The sequence below is a fragment of the Homo sapiens genome, chromosome 16 (genome assembly GCF_000001405.40).
Source record: "Homo sapiens chromosome 16, GRCh38.p14 Primary Assembly".
In the NCBI taxonomy this organism is placed as follows: domain Eukaryota; kingdom Metazoa; phylum Chordata; class Mammalia; order Primates; family Hominidae; genus Homo; species Homo sapiens.
The window spans coordinates 86,483,311-86,501,924 of NC_000016.10; the positions used below are offsets into that span (position 1 = coordinate 86,483,311).

Below are 18,614 nucleotides of genomic sequence, written 5' to 3' on the forward strand. Positions count from 1 at the left end.
CAAGCTCAGCCCCATTTTCAGTTCCTTTAGATATATACCCAGAAGTAGGTATCTAGGGGATTAGTATTCACATTTCCTGAACAGTTCTAGTGAGACTGGACCTATTTCCATATCCTTATTGGCCAATTCACATTACTTTAGCATAACAGTTTAGCATGATATCATCGTGTCTGTGTCTGTCTATCCATAATATCACACACTGCTTAGCTGCAGAGATGATGCCTGGTGCATTTAGCACATGGTCTGGCCCTTAGAATGTACTCTTATTTGCTGAATAAATGAATGACTGCTGAAAAAGTAAATGAATGAGTAGGTTAGAGCAGGTCCACTCCCTATTGCCACTGAGCCACAAAGAGAACAGGACAGGGGGCGTGCTTGGTTTGGGATCTGGCAGGAGGCTTTGAAACACACAATGCAAGTAGGATATTGCCAAGGAAAGGCGGTGGTTTTGCCTTCCTATGGCTGGTAACCTCACACAGCCTGCTGGGCAACATACCACCCCAGAGCCAAGTCATGCTGGGGGCTGCCCCCAGGTCCCCAAAGGCCTTGAGCAGGCTACTCTGGGGGATTGTTTACATCCTATTTTGCAGAGGGCAGTTTGCCAGAGAGTTCCTGCAGCTTCTCAAACAGCAATAATTCATGGAGAAATGCTTGCTACAGTACCTAGCACCAAAGTGTATAGTCAATGCATTTCTCTTCGCCTATACGGGCAGAGAGTGGGCTATCATCTCAAAGGACAGAAAGCTGAACCCTTGTCATGCTGGGGCAGTGGGCATCAGCTGGTGTAAAAACAAGCAGTGAAGCCAGCAATGTCCCATAACTGCTATCCTCAAGGAACCAGGCCACCATAAGATCTAGGGCTTTTCCAGGCAAAGACCCATCAGCCTTTCTCCAGCAATCTCCCGGTCAGTGGAAGAGCCAGGAGATGCTGAGCGTGGTCCCAGAAAGCCAGACCCCTCCTTTGCAGAGAATGTTAGCTATCACCCAGTTATCCATTTCCCCAATATCCATTATTAGAATTTTCTGCCAGGCAAATGGCCATCTCCAATAAAGAATACATTTCCCAGACTCCCTTGCAGCTAGCTGTGGTCATAGGACCAAATACTGGCCAATAGGGTGTGAGTGGAAGAGGAAAAGACGGGTATAACTTCTGGGTCATGCCTTCAAGGGGAGGGATATACCAGGGGTGGCAGCCCAAACATTGAACAACCAATAGAGTACAGGCAGTTAGGATACACAGCACCAGGAGGAGGCTCTCAGCCATGACAACGTGCACCAACCTCACCATTAGTCGTGGACAGCCCTCCCCTCGGCCAGAAAGAGGACTTGGAGGTGAGCCATGCAGACGGGTACAGCAGCCTATGGTTGGCAGAGGAACCAGCAAGAGATTCCGGATCTCTGGCACAGGGGACTACCACTCAGCCCTGCACACGACACACCTGGAGTGCAGTGAATGAGCAAGACTTAATTTCCCTCTCATTCAGACCTGTGCTATTCTGGATCTGCACTGCAGCAGCCAAACCCATACTCCACACACATCTCCTACTCTCCCCTCCCGTCTTCCTGCATTAGTTTTGCTTTCCAGGAAGAGAAAATGGAAGAATTTCCTACAACAACTTCTGTCATCTCAGTGCAGCTGCAGGGCATGGAATGGCTACTGCTGGGTGTAGTGGGCTGAATGGTAGCCCTCACTACTCTTCACCAAGAAGAGATGGTCACATCCTAACCCCTGAGCCTGTGAATGAGGTCTTCTTTGCAAAAGGGGTCTTTGTAGATATTATCAGTTAGGCATCTCAACATGAGATCATCCTGTTTGGAGAGGTTCCTGAGTCCTATGACAGTGCCCTTATAAGAGACAGAAGAGGAAGACACAGAGACAGAGATTGGAGTGAAGTTGCCCAAGCCCAGGAGTGCCTGGAGCCACCAGGAGCTGGCAGAGGCAGGAAGGAGCTGCCCCTGGAGCCTCCAGGGAAAACAGAGCCCTGCTGACAGCTTGATTTCAGGCTCTGGCCCCCAGGATTATGAGAAAATAACTTTCTGATGTTTTAAGTCACCAAGTTTGTGGTGGTGATTTTCTCTGGCAGCCTCAGGGCACTCCCACACCAGGGTGACTATTTTTCTCTGCCATCTCGGAAATTTTTGTCTCCTTCCTGCAGAAGAGAGTGTGGCTCTATCTGAAAATCATGGACGAGTAGTCCAGGGTAGTTGCTTGGAGGTCCCACAGTCCTCAGACCTCCTGGGTTCTGATTGCATCTACCCCATGAGGTTCAACCCTGAGAACACCAGCCTCACCCCACCCAGCCACACCCACCCAGCCTCACCTCGCTCCTCTCAGCCTTTCCTTCTGAAGGATTCCCATTGCAGATGCAGGCAGGGATTCCTCTACTTGTGGGTCCTGTGAAACTCCACAACCTGTTTCAGAGATCTTGACTCCTGCTATAGAAAGGGCAGGTGGTCATCATGCAGGACTTTCTCATCAAGACATCAGGGCTATTGGGATGACACAGACTCAAACAGCCTGTTTTGGAAATCAAAAGCTTTCTCTCTGCATTCCAACCATAACATCATAATCCTTCCTGGGGTGAACTCCTGTCTCTCAAAGAAATGCAAAAGGAGTCAGACATTCAAGCGTATGTTAGTTACCAAGCACGTACAGCTGCTGTAGGAGAGACTTGACCACAGTGGCTTAAAAAAATAGGGCCCTAGTGTCCCATGCACACATGCTCACCAGAGGCCCTAGAGAGATGGTTCAGGGATGCTGTGGAAGCTCCGTGGAGGCCCTTGAATGGGGCTCTTCATTCCTCTGCCCTGCTGCTGTCCTGTTCTTGCAGGCTGAGGCCGGGGCAGAACCCACTTCCCTCTCATGGGGTGTCCTGCTTGGATGGCCTTGCCTTTGTGGGGTGACTTCATGCCTGTTGCCTCATTTCTGGAGCCTCTGTCTAAACCTCCAGATGGCGAGACCCTGGGCATCCAGCATCCTGGTCTCACGGCTATTGACTCCTAACAAAAAGAGTAACTGTTCCCTTGGAATTTCCTTAAGTCTTCCCAGCCCTCAGACCAGGCTGCAGCCTGGGACTCAGGAGTCAGGGGTGCCTGGCTCTCAATTCACCTGTTGCTGCGTGACCTGGGCCAGGTGACTTGGCCTCTTCTTACATCAAAATGGGGCAACTGTCTTGTTCCCATCGAGGGTTAAACATGATGTGCCGGGCACTCCACACGTGGATATAAATGTCAGAGGCTGAGGTCAGGGCCCAAGCCCCCCGTGTCTCCAACAGCACTGTGTGCTCGGTCCACGAGGATGCAGACCCAGGAGTTGGGAACCAGCACTCCGCTAAGTGCTGGGGAGGCAACGACCTCCAGGAACAAGAGAGAATATTCCCTGCCCGCGGGACCCTGACAAAAGCAGGATAACTTCAGACAGTGACAAGTAAGGTAGCACGCACAGAGCAAACTGGGGAGGAGTGAGTTGGGGGAGGGTGCCCTGGTGTGGGGATGGCCCCTCTGAGGAGGTGGCCCTTGAACTGAGACCCAGGAAGATAGAAAGGGGAAACGGAGCCGGCCAAGGACAGGTGAAGGTGAAGCCAAGGGTGAGTTCCGTGGGGCGCCCCCTTTCCACGCAGCTAAGCCCCCTTCCTCCTTCAGCTGGATGGTGGAGCTCTGCGGTTCTAGTCCTGTTGTCCTACAGTGGGAAAGTGACTTTAACCTCTCTGTGCCTCAGTTTCCCCTGTCGAATGGGGATGATGATAATAGTCTGGCATCCAAGTAGATGAGCACAGAGAATACTGAGAACAATGTTCCCAAATGCTGCAGGTGTGCTGGGAACACTGGGGAATTTCAAAGGCATGAGTGCTGTTTGCTTGACACAGAAGGGTTGCAGTTTCTGGCTGGCGTGTCCTGAGACTCAGAGACAGATGGGCTCTCAGGAGTGGAATCCTTTTCCGAAGGGTCGAGGCTCCTGCCTGTAGCAAAGCTGCCCCCAAACCCAGATTGCACCATGAGCCAGTAAGCAGGGAGCCAGCACTGTGGCCCAGGAACTCGCTCCTGGGTGTGCATTTCTCGGAAAGGCTTCTATTCCCATCCCTCAAAGTAAGCAAAACCCCAAACCCCACAGATGCACACCACACACATCACTGTCTGCAAGCCCAGCCCTGTTTCCACGCTGGTGGGGATGGTTGATCATTTAAGTGCATTGAACCCTTTCTGTTTGTTTCATGAAAAAATAATTTCTGTTTGCTTTAGTCACATTGTTTGTTGTTTAAAAGAATAAAATAATTAAAATAAGAGGAACCCTATGTAGTCTTAGATTTTTTTCTGTTTGCCAGCACATAAAAATGTGTGGGTGATATCTATCATTTTTTTTAACCAACACAATTTAATGAGTTGTAACGTTGTCCATCGAGTTGTCATGCTTTATCTTTTATTTAACAAATACACATGCATATCTATATATGCAAATTAGATGTCTAAATCTATATTCGTTTTCTGTGGCAACCATAACAAATGACCACCAGCTGGATGGCCTCCAACAGCAGAAACATTTTCTTGCCCAGTTCTGGAGGCCAGAAGTCCGAAAGGTGATGAAGGGCCAGTTCCTTCTGGAGACTCTGACGGAGGGTGTGTTCCAGGTTCTTCCCACTCCCAGGGTTGCCAGCATCCTTGGCATTCCCCGGCTTGTAAAGGCATTTCTCCAATGTCTGCCTCCACCATCACTTGGCCTTCTGTTTGTGCCTCCCTCCGTGCCCTTTCTCTGTGCCCATCTCTACCATTTTCTAAATTATTTTCTTTGCCCATCTTTGTCTAAGCTGGATAAAAAGCCAGGACAACAGGCATGTTTTCTTTCCTAGAATGTATGGTCACCCAAGCTCTGCTGTCCCCCTGGGTTTCAGTTATTTATCACTAGCCAGCAGCTCTGGCATATTCATGGCAGCTGGTACTCGGCCTTCTAATTGGACCCTTCCCTCTTCCACCTGTTTTTGGGGACTACACTTTGCAAAGGAGAGTGGCAACCATCCATGTGGCAAGCCCCAAGCCCCCTTTCCTGACTACTTAACTTTGAGGATGTAAACACAGAGGTCAGGTGACTCGGGGGAGTCATGGTCACTTGGCGAGGGGGCTTGGATTTGAACCTGGGCATTTACCTTCAGAATCTGAGTTTGTATCTATGGTGCTCTAGTGCCTCTACCCTAGTTCTAAATGCCCTGTGTTTAGAATGTGTTCAGGCTGCTCTGATCAGATTAAGAGCACTGCTGAACACACTTTTCCTTCAATGCTTTTCACTGCTGTAGGGCTCTTACCTACTCCCCTGGAGAGGACCACCTAGGTTGTCTCCACTGCTAGGCTTCCCAAACCCCATGCTGATGAGTATCCTCATACACAGGACCTCCAGGGAAACACCCCAGGTGCACAGGCTCAGAGCAGCAGGTTGCAGGATATTCCTATAATTAACTTCTCCAAGCACAAAGTGTGCTCCTTCTGTGAATTCCTGAAGCCGTGCAGGCTCCTACTTCTAAGCTACACAACTGCAAACCAAAAGGTGCTTCGAGGAGCTGTCATCGTGAAGTGACCGGCTGACGGGACTGTGTACTGGAAAGGAATCTGCAAACGGTTTCATGCTGGACAAATGTGTGGGCCACTCACATTGTTGCTGAACAGCAGGATCTGTCTTTAGGGTGAAGTGTGGGCAATTTCCATTGAGGGGATGTACCTGCCACCGTCTGGTTTGTGGAGGAGAGAGTGCCCCTGGAATCCAACCCACAGGCAGGAGCCTAGGACCAAAATCAAGCAAGCTCTTCTGGCCTGTTAGTATGCAGGTCGAGGGAGGGGCCTTGATTCACAATGGCTCAGTGCTCTCACCACCGGGCCCTAATGCACAGGCTGAGGCAAGGGCAGCAGGGCTCGGATTCTTAAATCCTTGTGGACTCTGAGCACACAATCCACTCTCCACAAGCAAGCATAGTGGACTTCCTCAGGTAGAAAGCAGCCCAGCAATTTACTCCTTGGCACACAGCTCCAAAGATGATCCCCAACAATGCTACCCCTACCCCCAGCATATGCCACCCATTCCTGCCCAAGATGGAAAAATTACTAGGCTGGCCTGTAAATGCTCCGGTCAATACAGTGACAGTCTGGGACATCTGAATCCTGGTCTTAAGAAGGCTGAACGCTTCTAATTCCCTCCTCTTGGAATCCAGCCTCTGTATTGTTAGAAGCCTGAGCCACAGGGCAAGGATACAGAGAGGTGAGCTGAGGAGCTCTGGACAGAAGTCCAGTGGAGCTCCCAACAGCAGCCAGCACCACTGATGGCCACGTGAGCAAGAAACCTTGCACGTTCAGCCCAGTTGAGCCTCTGAATGACTGCAGCCCCAGTACCATCACATGGAACAGAAGAACTGCCCAACTGAGCCCATCCCATGCACCAAATCCTGAGAAAGAAGAAAATGGTAATTGTTTCAAGGACTCAATTTGAGGGTGGTCTGTTATACGTTAAGAGATACCTGAAACAACCTCCAACAGAAATGCATGCAGAAGGTAGCCAAGAGACATATACCAGTCTCCAGCTGGAAATAACTATGCGTCCCTCAACAGTAGAAGGAATAAATAGCCTATGTCCCATCAACAGTAGAATACTCTATGGTGGTGAAAATGAACAAACGATGGCTTCCATGCAGCAATCTGGGTGATGCTCATAAACACAGCCCAGAGTGAAAGAAGCCAAGCCCATTCTGTATGATTCCGTTTGTACCACGTTCAGAATTAGGCAGGACTATCTCTGTGGCTGCAAGTCAGGAGACGGGTGACCTGTGAGTGGCGATAACAGGAGGGGGCTTCTGGAGGATGGAGATGATGTGTCTGGATGTGCACACTGCTCAGAGAATGTGTTTCCTTTGAGAAAGCTCATCGAGCCAATTGGTGGACGTCTCTGTGTGTATGTGATGTTTCAATAAAAAGTTTACCTTAAAATGTAAATCCGATGTTTTCTGGTTATCTACGACTGCATAACAAATCATGCCAAAATGCAGTGGCTTTAAACAGCAGTCTTTCATTACTTCTTGCAGTTCCTGTAGGTCAGAAATTCGAGAGGAGCAGGGCTGGGCGGCTGTGGCTCAGGATCTCTCATGCGCTCAGTCCTCATGGAGGGCTAGGTTGGGGTCAGTTGTGCCAAACTGAGTAAACCACTCACCCTCTCTGGTCTTCAGTTTCTCACTGTCAATTGAGAGAAGGAGACAAGACCATATCAAGTTTCTTTGTGGCTTTAAATGCCAGGATTCCCTTCTCTTCTTCTCGGTGTTCATGGAGTTCTTTTGTAATTAATCCTTTTGACCAAGGAACTCTGCAGAGCTTCCTGCCTCACGCCACAACCCACACTGGCCCCTGTGAGGTCACGACAGGTGATTTTAATTTGTTTTATTACAGAAAAAATAAAATATATGAAAGTAAAGACAATAGGATAACCAACCCCTATCTGCCCAGTACTCAGCAACAACCATTTATCAGCTTCTGTCCAGTCCTGTTCCACCTCCGTCCCTTCCCATGGCCTCTTGCCTTGGTTTTTCAGATGTAAATCCCATCTACATGTATTTCACTTGGTATCTTCGGAAGACACGGGCAGAGCTGGTTTTGACAGTGATGCAGTTGCTGGCAAATCCGTTTGCATCCAACATTGTCTTGAAATTTGGGTCACCTCTTCACAAATCCTGTTTGGAAAAGTGCTCTTATGAGGAACAGATGCTCCAGATGAGTCACAAGCCCTAAAACACACATACAAACAGACACGCCCGTCCTTTCTTTTGTTTGGAAAGCAATTGTTAGAACTTCAAGAGTGATTCTAGGGTGCTTTGCAGTCAACTGGTTACCACAAATGGGATGTGTATAACTTTAATGATTTCATTTAACACTGCCCAGTCCAGGCCTCAATCCCCTGCACTACTGTCAATGCTCCTTCATCCTGCACACGTGCTCTGCATCTCATGTTCTACGTCAGTGGTGGCAATGAGCACATGCCAGGTGTCCTGCAAACTTGGGCTCTGGAACCAAATGCCTGTGTGAGACCTGGCTCCACCACTCACTAATGTGTGCCCTTGGGTGAGTCAGAACCTCTCCTTCCCTCCATGTCCACATCTGAAGCATCCTTCATTATACTGCTCCGGGGATTGAGTGAGATCATAGACTCAGCACTCTGCGTGGTGCCTGGCACGCAGGGAGTGCCTCATAAACATCGGGCACTGCCTTCCAAACTGAGCAAGGGTTCCCCATGGCCAGCTGCTGGCTGGCCGTGCCCAGTGTCTGTCTCTCTATAGGTCAGCTATAAGCGTCTGTGTTAAATCCAAAGAACAAGCCCAAGTATGATCCCCAAAGGGAAAAGATTGCCTGAGCGAGCCTAATCCTCCTGCATCTTCCGTTATTGCCTCCACTGCTTGATTAAGCCTGACACAAGGAAAGCATTCAATCTCACTTTTGGAGGCGAAGAAGCACAGAGAAAACCTTTCTCACAGCAAGAACTGAGTTTGTGTAAGAACTGCAATTTTGAGGTCCTGAAGGACACAATCGGGGTATTGTACTTGTGGCTTCTCGTCACAGCAGCCAGCTCGCCGGACAGTAAACAAGCTTCCAATGAAATAAAGGCTTTGCATGGCAGATTCTCTTGCTGTGACTAATAGATCATGTACTTCCAAGAGTATATGTCACATTTGTCATCTCAGATGGGGGACCCTCCCAGCCACAAAACAACCTGAACAGTAGCAAGGAAGCCAGTTCCAGGCAGTGATGCCTGTTTCGGACATGGCCCCCTCTTGGTCTGAGCTGGAGCTTTTAGACACACCTGAGGGTAAGGAAGATGAGAGGAGCCACCCAGCAGTCTGTCCAGCCCTTGGCTGCCTGTAGCCTATCTTCCCTCCTTGGAGTTCCCGGGGAATAAAGGATGCAACCCAATGAAACGTTACATCTTGCAGCATTGTTTAATAGAAACTCTAAGTTAAATGGTGGATCTACATAATTAAACTTGTTGCATTTCCCCTGAACCGCTGCCTTAGCCATGGGTGCCAGGGTCACTAGAACAAATCCCACACAGATCCCTAATCACCTATCAATGAGCACAAATGATGCAGAGAGGTAATACGTGTGGTATCACTCACTAGCTGTGTGTCCCTGGGTAGTTACTCAACCTCTCTGAACCTCAATTCCCTCACTTGGAAAATGGGGATAATACCACCTGCCTTGGAGAGGTGTGATGATTAAATGCTTGTGAAGCAACTGATGTGTGCTTCATGAAGGTGACAGTGGTGGTGATGAAGATGACAGTGGTGGTGATGAAGATAACACTGCAGAGACAAAATGATTAAACTAAAAAGGATGGCACCATCAAATGCTACAGGCAGAAGACCTGGTCTCCAGAGGGTTAACAAAGAATCCCCATTTCCCAGAAGAAGAAACAGAGGGCCAGAGATGGAGCAGGACGTGGCCACGGTCACACAGCACTGCCACCCAGTGCCTCCCTCTCAGAGTGGCAGGAAACTCCAGGAAGGGCCATGAGCATCCCTCTCCTTGCCAGGATGAAATTCAGAAAGCTGCCCAGGACTTGCTGCTGACTCTGTATTCCAATGGATATGAGGAGGCTGCCCTAAGAAGATAGTGTCAGGGGACTTGCTGGGTGTGTGTGTGTCTGTGTGTTTGTGTGTGTCCACAGGATGTGTCTGCAGACTCTGTTCTTGTCCCAGCACAGCCTGCATCTATCTGGCAGGAGCTCCCAGAATCTCTAAGCAGGACATACATAGGGAAGGGATGGAAGGTCTGGTGTCTTGCTCAGCTTGGAAGCCAAGAAAGTTGGGCCTTGGCCAGTGGGGGTGGGGGACATGGCCACTTTCCTCTAGGACACAACTGCCCTGCCTGGGGGGCCCATTAACCTTATAATTAATCTGCCCCCTTGGAGGCCTTGGGCAAACATTTAGATTGGGGACGACCTCATCTGGTTTGCCCAAATATTTGTAGCTTGTGGGTCACCCGGCCACTTCCTGAGAGGCTAAATCTGGGGATGTCCCTGTCCACACAATTTCCATCTCCCCGGCACTGCCAGGATGAAGCTGAGCATTGTTGGTGTGTCTGGAGGCTTCTGGTTCCAACTGGGGCCACCTGGACATCCAGGATGTTGGCGGGGGTTGGGAGGACGGGCAGCAGGGAACAGGATCATGTGTGAGCAACTCCTCTTATGGCGAGCACTGCTGATCACCGGAGAACATGATCTCAGCAAATCACGGCAACTCTGAACAGGCTGCCAGGGCAGGTACTGCCCGGGGTGATGGTCTGCCCCCCCCCCCACCCACCAAAGCTGCGACTGTCCAACCCTGCAGGCAGGTGGGGATCCTGCGCAAGGGAAAAAAGTTACCCTAGCTGGTGGGCACGGCTGGTGATGGTCTGGGCCCCACCGAAACCTAAGGCTGTCCAATCCTGGACTCCAAATCACTCACAGCCCCTTGCATGAGTGGTTTCATTCATGCATTCATATCAGCAGCCCAAAGACTTATTTTTATGCACTTCCTCGTGATTTGTCCTTTGGTCACCATGAACTAAACTTCTCTGCACCCGGCACTGGGCTATACAGGCTTCACATTAACGTCGGATTAAATTCTCCTAAGCTTTCCGGGAGAAGGCATGGCCTTTCCCCCACTTTACACATGAGGTCACTGAAGTCAAGAGAGGTTAACTAACCTACCCATGGCAGCCAGAAGTAGAGCCTCCCTAGAAGCCAGATATACAGACTCTACCAAGCTCCAGATAGTTCCACAGCAAGCCACGGCTAGCACACCACCGTCTTACGATCCTGCCAAAGGCTTTCCCACTACAGACCAGGCGAGTGGGCTGCAGGGAGCTCTGAATTTGGGAACTGAGACAGAACATCATCCATAAGCGCCCTAATCCACAAGGATGTTTCTCCCCCGCGACCAGAGCGGCTCCTTCTGGGATGCAGCAAGCGGCGGGGAGGCAGCGCGCCGGTGCCAGGCCTGTGGCGGGGGCGCAGGCACAGCCGGAAAGGGCCTGGAGGAGCAGCTGATCCTGCTGGGGTCGCTTAGAAGACTGAGCCTGTACTTAGCTCTCCGTGGTAAATAACAGCTCTGGTTTCTGCTAAAAGGATTCATTCCCAGAACACAATAATTTTCATCTCCTCCTCACTACAACCCATATTTTATGGCTAAATATACGCCATAATGAGCCACTGGCCTGATAGCGTCGTTAAGGAGATATTTGACCTCGGGTTTAATTGCAGGATGGAATAAATGGCTGGGAAGCGCAGAAGGGGCCCTACCAGCTCGCAGGCGAGTTCAGGGCTCAGCATCTGGCATTTGCCAGCCCCAGAGAAAGTGGCGCGGGTGGAGAAAGCGGCTCCCGCAGCGTCCGGGGCGCTGAGACGCTCGAGGGCGCAGGCGCCCTAGAGCAGCCGGGTGCAGTCTTTGGCCAGGGCTGCCCCTGGAACACCCCGGTGTGGCCGCATTAGGGAGCCCCCTACCCCTGGGGAGCGGCCCTTTCTATCTCGCTCCCTCTTTAGCTTGCCGCCCTTCCTTTCAAAGCACCGGGAGAAAAGGCCAACCCCACCCCTGTGAGCCAGCGCGAGGCCGGCTACCTGGGCGCATGCCTGGCCACCCATCACGACAGATTAAACATCGGTGTGAAGGGTTCCTGTGTCTATCCCTCCGCCGAGGGCGCGGAGGGAGCGGGGATGAGGACCAGTCCCGGCACCTGCTGAAGGTTATGCAGAGAATGGAACCCGCGCTGGCGGACAAATTGCAGCGCACAGCTGAGCAGGGCGGCTGGCCCAGCAGGAGGGGCTCCGCGGGGCAATTGCACCCGGCCTCCCACCCCTGGGTGTGCAACTCCAGAGCTTCTGTTCGGAAAACACAGGCCAGCCGGAGCCTGTGACCTCCACGGCCCGAAGAAGAGGGGCGGATTCAGGCCTGTGGCAGCGCGGGCCTTTCGCGCTCCCGCCCCTGTCTGTTCTCAGATTTTTCCCTCGGCTGCTCAACGTCAAGGCTACACAACCCGTCAAGGGAGTGTCAGCGGTGCGCACGGGTTTGACAAATCATAGTTCGCTGAAAGAACGAGGTGCCCGATAACTGTGACTTAGGCGCACTTTATTCTGTCTTGGTCGTTTTTATTTGGGAGGGAGATGTGTTAGGGACTTGCTGTATCCGGTGGAAACTATGATGCTGCTATTCTCAAAAATGCACCTACACACCTAGTTTGCACCTTCCACTTCAATATCCTTTGATCTGGAGATAAAAACACAGCCTTTCGCCTTCCCCATGCTTGACCCACTCTGTTACCCAAGGCCCTGGAAGCAGCCCCCAGGCTGACCCTTGATGGGGGGCAGCAACCTCCCGGCCCCCAATCAAGGGGTCTGCTGCTCTCCTCTGAGGTGGCAGAGGAGAGAAAGTGGGACAAAGTCCTCAAAGAAATGCCTCATCCCCAAGTAACTCACTCCCTAGGCTGTGAGCATTATCGCTACGTCAACTTTGGAGGAGTTGGAAGGAACCACCCTCAGAACAACTCTCCTTCCATGGGGGAGAAAGTTTACAAGCAAAACTTTAATTTGGTCCAGTAATTATCTATCTCTCGATGTCCCCTCTTCCTTGTGAAGTGTTGTTTCCTGGGATCGACTGACTTCTTTACCGCCGGGGTGCTAATCTGATTACCAGGCTGGTGAGCTCGGCCTTCAAAGCGTGTGTGAAGCAGTGTCGGTCTTCTTTGTAGTAACGGGGAAAGCAGAGATTCACAACAGGGCTTGGGGGATGGCGCCCCAGCGGTGCCAGGAGGTCCATCTCTCCAGGTGGAAAACCCAGGCCGGGTGTTCTCTGGGCCCTGCCTTCCACCTGCAGGCGGGCGGGGGTCCAATGAACCCACACCCAGGCTGAACTGGCCAGAAAGGGAGGGAACAGCATCTACACAAGCAGACTATGGCGACCACCAGAGAAAATAGGGCGGACAACCCAAATCTCCCCAGTCAAAGTTCCTCTAGGAAAAGATTAGACACGGCTCCGAAAGTTCCACTGGGCTAGACGCCCGCCGAGTCTCCGTTTCACCTTGTCTGTGGAGACGCAGCTATGCGGTGTCTGATAAGTGGACCGGACCTGGAAGCGCCGGGCTGTGGTCGCCCAAAGGCGTGGTGCCCGCATCAGCCTGGCTGCCCTGACCCAGGAAACACCGACCCTGTCCCAGGGCCACAGACACGGCCCAGGTCACCAGCCTCGTGGGTCAGTCTCTCTCCCGCTGCTGCAAGTCGGGCTGTCTCTCCTGCTGGCCGTTCTCCTCTAACCAAAGCAAAGGAGGGCAGCACCGCCAGGGTCCTTGCCTATCCACGGAGGAAAAGACGGCAGTGGGATCCGGAAAAGGGGGAGAGAAAAAAAAGTTCTCTCGGGATGGAAGGACTTGATAGGGCCTTTAGAAAATCTAATTGCTTAGCCCCAGAAAAAAAAAAAAGGCAGCCGGCCAGGAAATAATGTCAAAATCCGGGCTAATTATATTATTAAAAACAAAGAAAAAAACGAAAATGAAAAGGAGCAGAGCGGTGAAGGGGATAAGGGAGACTGAGTTCTAGCCGCATCCGAGTGTCCCGGAAGCGTTATCTGAGTGCTCCTTAAAAAAAAAGGAGCTGCGGGACTTAAATTAGGGTTTTTCTTATCCACAAACCTGATTGCGCTACCGAGGGTTGGTGGGGGGAACGAGGTGAGGGGGCTGATTGCAAACAGAGGGTTCTCGATTTGGAGAAAGTTAGAGAGGCGGGCAGGGCAATTTCACCCAGTTAGAGGAGGTGGGGGGGAGAAGGTTTCTGCTGGAGGTCCCAGAGCGGCCCAGAGCGCGCTCCCTTTGATTGGGCCTGGGACCAGAGCGCGGCGAGTCTCCGGCGGCCGCGGCGCGATCGGCTGGCTGTTTGTAATTCCATCCTTTTTTCATTAACATAAACACCACTTGAACAAAAATATACACGGCCACCTACTTCGTCGGGAAAGACAGTCCAGCGCCCACCGGCCCGTGCTCGCCCGCCTGCCGAGCCCCGAGTCCCGGCAACGCGCCCCGGGTGCTCCGGTCCACTCGGCACACGCCGCGCGCGGGGCTCGGCCGAGGTGGCTTCGGGTGGCTCTGAAGCCTCGGTCTTCCCGGCTCCCAGGACGCCCCCCCCGCCCCCGCCCCTCCATTCAGCCTGTCATCTCGGCCCTCCGCCGCCTCCGGAGCCCCGACGGAGGTGCTGAGTTGTCAACGCAAATTCCTAGTTAAGCCACTTGTTGATAAACCCTCTAGGCAAATTGGTTCCGTCTTTACCTGCCCGCCCCGCCCCCGCCCCCGGCCCCAGCCGGCGCGCCCCTAATTGCTGGAGGAGCTCGACGCCGGCGGCGGCCTCTGCAGCGAGCTAATTGAGTTGGAACCCGAGCGGTCTTCGTTAAGCCGGACGCAAGGCGGGGACGGGGGAAGGGGGCGGGAGGTGAGACGCAGCCTGGGACCTCCGGCCTGGGGTTGGAGGCCCACGCTTGCTGGGGTGGGCTTTTGGTGGAGGAAGAGCAATCATGCGGAGGGCTCTGCCGCCGGGTTAAGTGGACGCAGCGACTATCTGGCGGTTCTCGGGGGTCTGCGTTCCCTGGTTCACAACCACCCCACCCCCACGCGCCTGTGCACATGTCCCTCCCGCCGCGCAGGGTCTCCGCGGGCGCGCCCCGCCCCAAATAGAGCTTACTACAGTAACCCGGGAGTCTCACATCTGCGCGTCCCCCACCCGCCCACCCCCGCACCGCCTGTACCCCAATTTCGGCCCGCACCCGACCAAATTTTAAAAATTGGGAGGGTTTTGGGGACTGCAATGGAAAATCAGCTGGCCCCGGCCCCAGACTCCGTCTACACTGGCACAGACAGGTGGAGTACAAAGCCGGCTTCCTGGATGATTCAGGCCCCAAATCGTAGGTAGAAATGTGCAAGTAATGGACCTTCGATCTGCTTTCCCTCCCTTAGCACATAATCCGTAGTATTCGCTGTTTCCCGTTGCCCCTATAGACACGCCCCAACCAATCTCGCACTGTAAGTGCATTTCTTGGGTTTTCCGGGGAAAAGCACGGTTCCAGCACCCCAGATTCGTCTACCTTGGATTCCGACCCAGGCGTCACCCTCTAGCGGCAATCTCAGTTGCATCCAGAGAACAGCGCCGAGGCCTCCCACTCCCAACCGTCTCCCCTCCTGGCTGGGGCGGGCAGGGGTTGGGGTTTGAGTATGATCCTGATACCCGGGGCCTGGGCAGTTTTACCACCGCCCAAGGGGCAGTCCCGGCGGGAGACGCGCGGGGCCTGGGTTTCCAGAAGGTGCCTCCCCAAGGGGGCGGGCCCCGGGTGCACCCCGGTGCCCCGAGGCCCCCCAGCCTGAAGGCAGGCCGAATCCGCCCTTGACCAAGTCGAGGCCAAGCGAGTGCGAAAAAGGCGTGTATGAGGGGCCCCAAGACCTTTTCCCAGCCTGAAAAGTTTTCGGCGTTGCAGCTCTGGCGTTCCTGGACCCCGGGCGCTCAGGCGCGCACCCCTCCCCTGGGCTGGTGAAGGTATAATAAACACGGCGTTCACGCCGGCAGGACCCATCATTAGCCCAAACCGCGGTGGAAAGGAGCGCTCGGTTGCAGAGCTAGAACAGCAGTTACCAGCCGGGGCTGCCTGGCACCCTCCCGCCGCCGCCGGCGCCTTCCTGGCCGCCGAGCTGCCTCGCAGCCAGGTCCCAATGCCGACCCCAAGGCGTGCCGCCCCTGGAACCCGCGGGGGTCCCAGGTCCACGCCAAAAGAAACGCGCTCTGCTTCTCCCGGGCGTCAGATGCACCGCCTCGGCCGGACGCCAGCCCTGGACAAATTTTTCCGGGAAGGCGACGTAAAGAATGTCAGACTTGCAAAACCAGAGTGCGCCTCGGTTGCTTAAAATGGAGAGAGAGAGAGAGAGAGAGAAGTCAGGGGCAGGTGGGCAGCGGTGGAGGGGCGGCTGCCCTGGAGTCACGGACTTCAGCAGAGGCGGCTTAGCAAAAAACGCAGAAAAACGTGGGGGCGGCAGCGGAGGGAGTGTTGGACGCTTACCGCTGGTCTCACAAAAGAATGAATTTGATTCCTAATTAAGTTAGTTTTCATGGTGCATTAAATGGATCTCAGCTCAATTTTGGGAAAAAAAACAATGACCCCACTGAGAGAAAGCTTCGCCTGCAGCTGCCAGTGGGAACGAAGTGGTTTTCAAACCCTAAGGGAGGTGGGAGGAGAGGCCAGATAAAAGGATCAATGCTGACCTTGGGTATATAACAAAATATTTAAAATATGTTGCGGTTTATGCTTTTTTAAATAGCGGGTCTTATACATCTACCCATGTCAGGGATAGAATTTTTGCAGGTAATTAATTGCTAACTATTAGGAAAAAATCCCCAGGATGAGAATTAATTGGCACTGGGGTAGAGAAATGCAGAGCACATATGAAAACCAAGTGAACCACAGAAATTCCTTTTAAAAAGGAATAGGCGCTAGGATCTCTGTGTGATCAAATTGGTTAAAGATTTGGTGTATTGCAAACATTGAGAAAATACGTTTCAAAATAAAAGGACTATGAACTTTGAGTGGTTACTTTATGTTTTCGCCTCCATTTGATTTTTAAATTCTAGAGGGTAGAAAGCTTGCTGGCTGGTAACAAGGTGAGCACTGAGTGGCAAGGTGAGAGGCAAAAATAATCATCGCTAAGACGGGGATAACGCGCTTGTTATTTACATTGCTAGGAGCGCTCCAACCCTTAGGCTGAGGAGCAGAGGAGCAGTCTCTATGACACCCCAGGTAGAGACAGTGCCTGGGCCAGTCAGGGCCCCCTACTCCAAGGAATTCTCCTGGGAGGTCTGCTTTGCAGAATGGGGGACAGGGGCCCCTCTGACCTCCAAGGAGCTAAGTCCAAGCGGCTCTAAGGGCCCCGCTTTGCTCGAAGTCCTCCTGCTCCAATTCCTTGACTTGAAAAGAGCCTTCAATAAGGATTCTCCCTGAACACCCAGGGAGGGGCAAAGGGCGAATGAGCGCCTCCCCCAACCCCGCAGCAAAACAGCAACAGACAGTGCTGACGTTGAGGGGATGTTCAGGACAAAACCCCCACCCCTCACCCTCCCTGTCATTTCTCAGAAACTGGACTGTAGGGGGCTGAAGGCTGGGAAGTGGGGGTGGGAGCTGGTGGGGCCTCCCCAGGAGGCCTCAGATTTCCCCTGCTTTCCCCGGGGAGGTGGTCCCAGGCAGGACCCCAGGCTAGAAGCTGTTGTTTTGTTATTAGGTGTTGTGGGAAGCTGGGGAAGGGGGATGCAAGGGCTTTCAAACCTGCCTTAACGTTGCCAGAGCCTCCAAGTAGATGAGGACATTTCCCCTCCCCGCTTCCAGCCTCCCCGCCAACCCCGTGCTTTTCCTGGGCTTGCCAATGGCAGCCCAGAGTCCAGATGCCACAGGGGTCTGCACTGTCGACTTTGGGAGAAGGGAGGGAAGTGCCTTAAAATCGATCCAGCGTTTATTGGGCCCTTACTGTTTGCCTCTGTGCTGCACCTTGCTTTCCTGTCTGTGAAATGGGCTTCAGAACAGCAACTGCACAAATAACAGCAATGCCTCAGCACAGTGCTTGCACACTGCGGGTGCTCAGCCGTTCTCTAATTGTAACAGCATTATCTTTCCATTTAGTCTTCATGGCTGCCCTAGAGCACAGGGACTGTTATTCTTGCCATCCTGCAAAAGAGAAAGGGGGCTCAGAGAGGTCAAGAAGCTGCCCAGGGGCCACAGAGCAGATGGGGCAGCGAGGTGGGATTCTGACCCAGTTCTGGGGCAGCCACTACAATGCGGTGGGGACCCCTTAATGAGGGGCTCTGTCGACTGCAGAGGGTGACTGGGGACCAAGCCCAGCCATGAGAGGATGGGGGCTACATCTGAGACTGTGTCACCGTCTGGATGTTGAGAAGTCATTCTGAGTTCTCCAAGGGCTCAAGGAGGCCGCTGGTTGACCCCCAGGCTCCTCCCAGAGCCCAGAGGGGAAGGTGCTCATTCACCAGCACGCAAGAGCTTAGACTCCCCACTTCTGCTCATGCCTGGCCCTGACCCTAAACTGCCAGGCTTGAAGGGGCTCTGCACCCCCAACAATAACAACCACAGCTAACAATTGCTAACTAATTTAATCAGCTCAGCCACCCAGAAAGGAGGTGCTGTCATTGTTCTTGTTTTGCAGATGAGGAAAACGAAGCACAGAGAGACAAAGCCACCAGCCCATGTCCCCATGTCACACAGCAGTGGAGCGGAGTCTTAGCCAGGTGGGACCCACACTCCCAATCACTAATAGCTATATTTGTTTGTTTAACAATTCGGCCATGGTTTGAGTTTACGGTGCCCATCCCCCCACCCCCACCCCTGCCAGACCCTGCAGGACGCACTTCAGGTGTTCCTTCCCTGGTCCTCATGTCAGCTCTGTGGATGGGGACTGAGGCACCGAGAGATTTAAATCATTTGCTCAAGGCCAGAGCTAATGCCAGGGTCAGGACGGAACCCTTCTCCACCTCTGGGACCCTTCCTGCATTAGCGGGGTTTTAAACTCAGAGCTGAGAATGGGGGCCTCTGGAGTGG

General features: G+C 52.8%; 1 long non-coding RNA gene across 2 annotated transcripts in view, besides 2 other annotated features; it reads right to left on the reverse strand.

Moving 5' to 3' along the window:
- The window catches only part of FENDRR (FOXF1 adjacent non-coding developmental regulatory RNA), a 34,336-nt gene that overhangs the window by 8,786 nt on the left and 6,936 nt on the right, over positions 1–18,614 (reverse strand). Inside the window, exons 2-4 of one of the 2 annotated variants that reach the window (NR_036444.1) lie at positions 7,543–7,694; positions 6,954–7,203; positions 4,353–6,422 (exon numbers count right to left, since the gene is read on the reverse strand). The exons of the other annotated variant lie outside the window; for it this stretch is intronic. This is a non-coding gene — a long non-coding RNA (FOXF1 adjacent non-coding developmental regulatory RNA). Of the gene's footprint in view, positions 1–4,352; positions 6,423–6,953; positions 7,204–7,542; positions 7,695–18,614 lie in introns of those variants that run through there. 2 annotated transcript variants of the gene reach the window in all.
- Positions 14,989–15,613: an enhancer, noted in NCBI's record as "H3K4me1 hESC enhancer chr16:86531905-86532529 (GRCh37/hg19 assembly coordinates)". NCBI's record gives its function as "activates a minimal SCP1, AML or CMV promoter by ChIP-STARR-seq in primed H9 embryonic stem cells {active_cell/tissue: H9 hESC(primed)}" and the evidence as "EXISTENCE:reporter gene assay evidence [ECO:0000049][PMID:30033119]".
- Positions 17,191–17,747: an enhancer, noted in NCBI's record as "H3K4me1 hESC enhancer chr16:86534107-86534663 (GRCh37/hg19 assembly coordinates)". NCBI's record gives its function as "activates a minimal SCP1, AML or CMV promoter by ChIP-STARR-seq in primed H9 embryonic stem cells {active_cell/tissue: H9 hESC(primed)}" and the evidence as "EXISTENCE:reporter gene assay evidence [ECO:0000049][PMID:30033119]".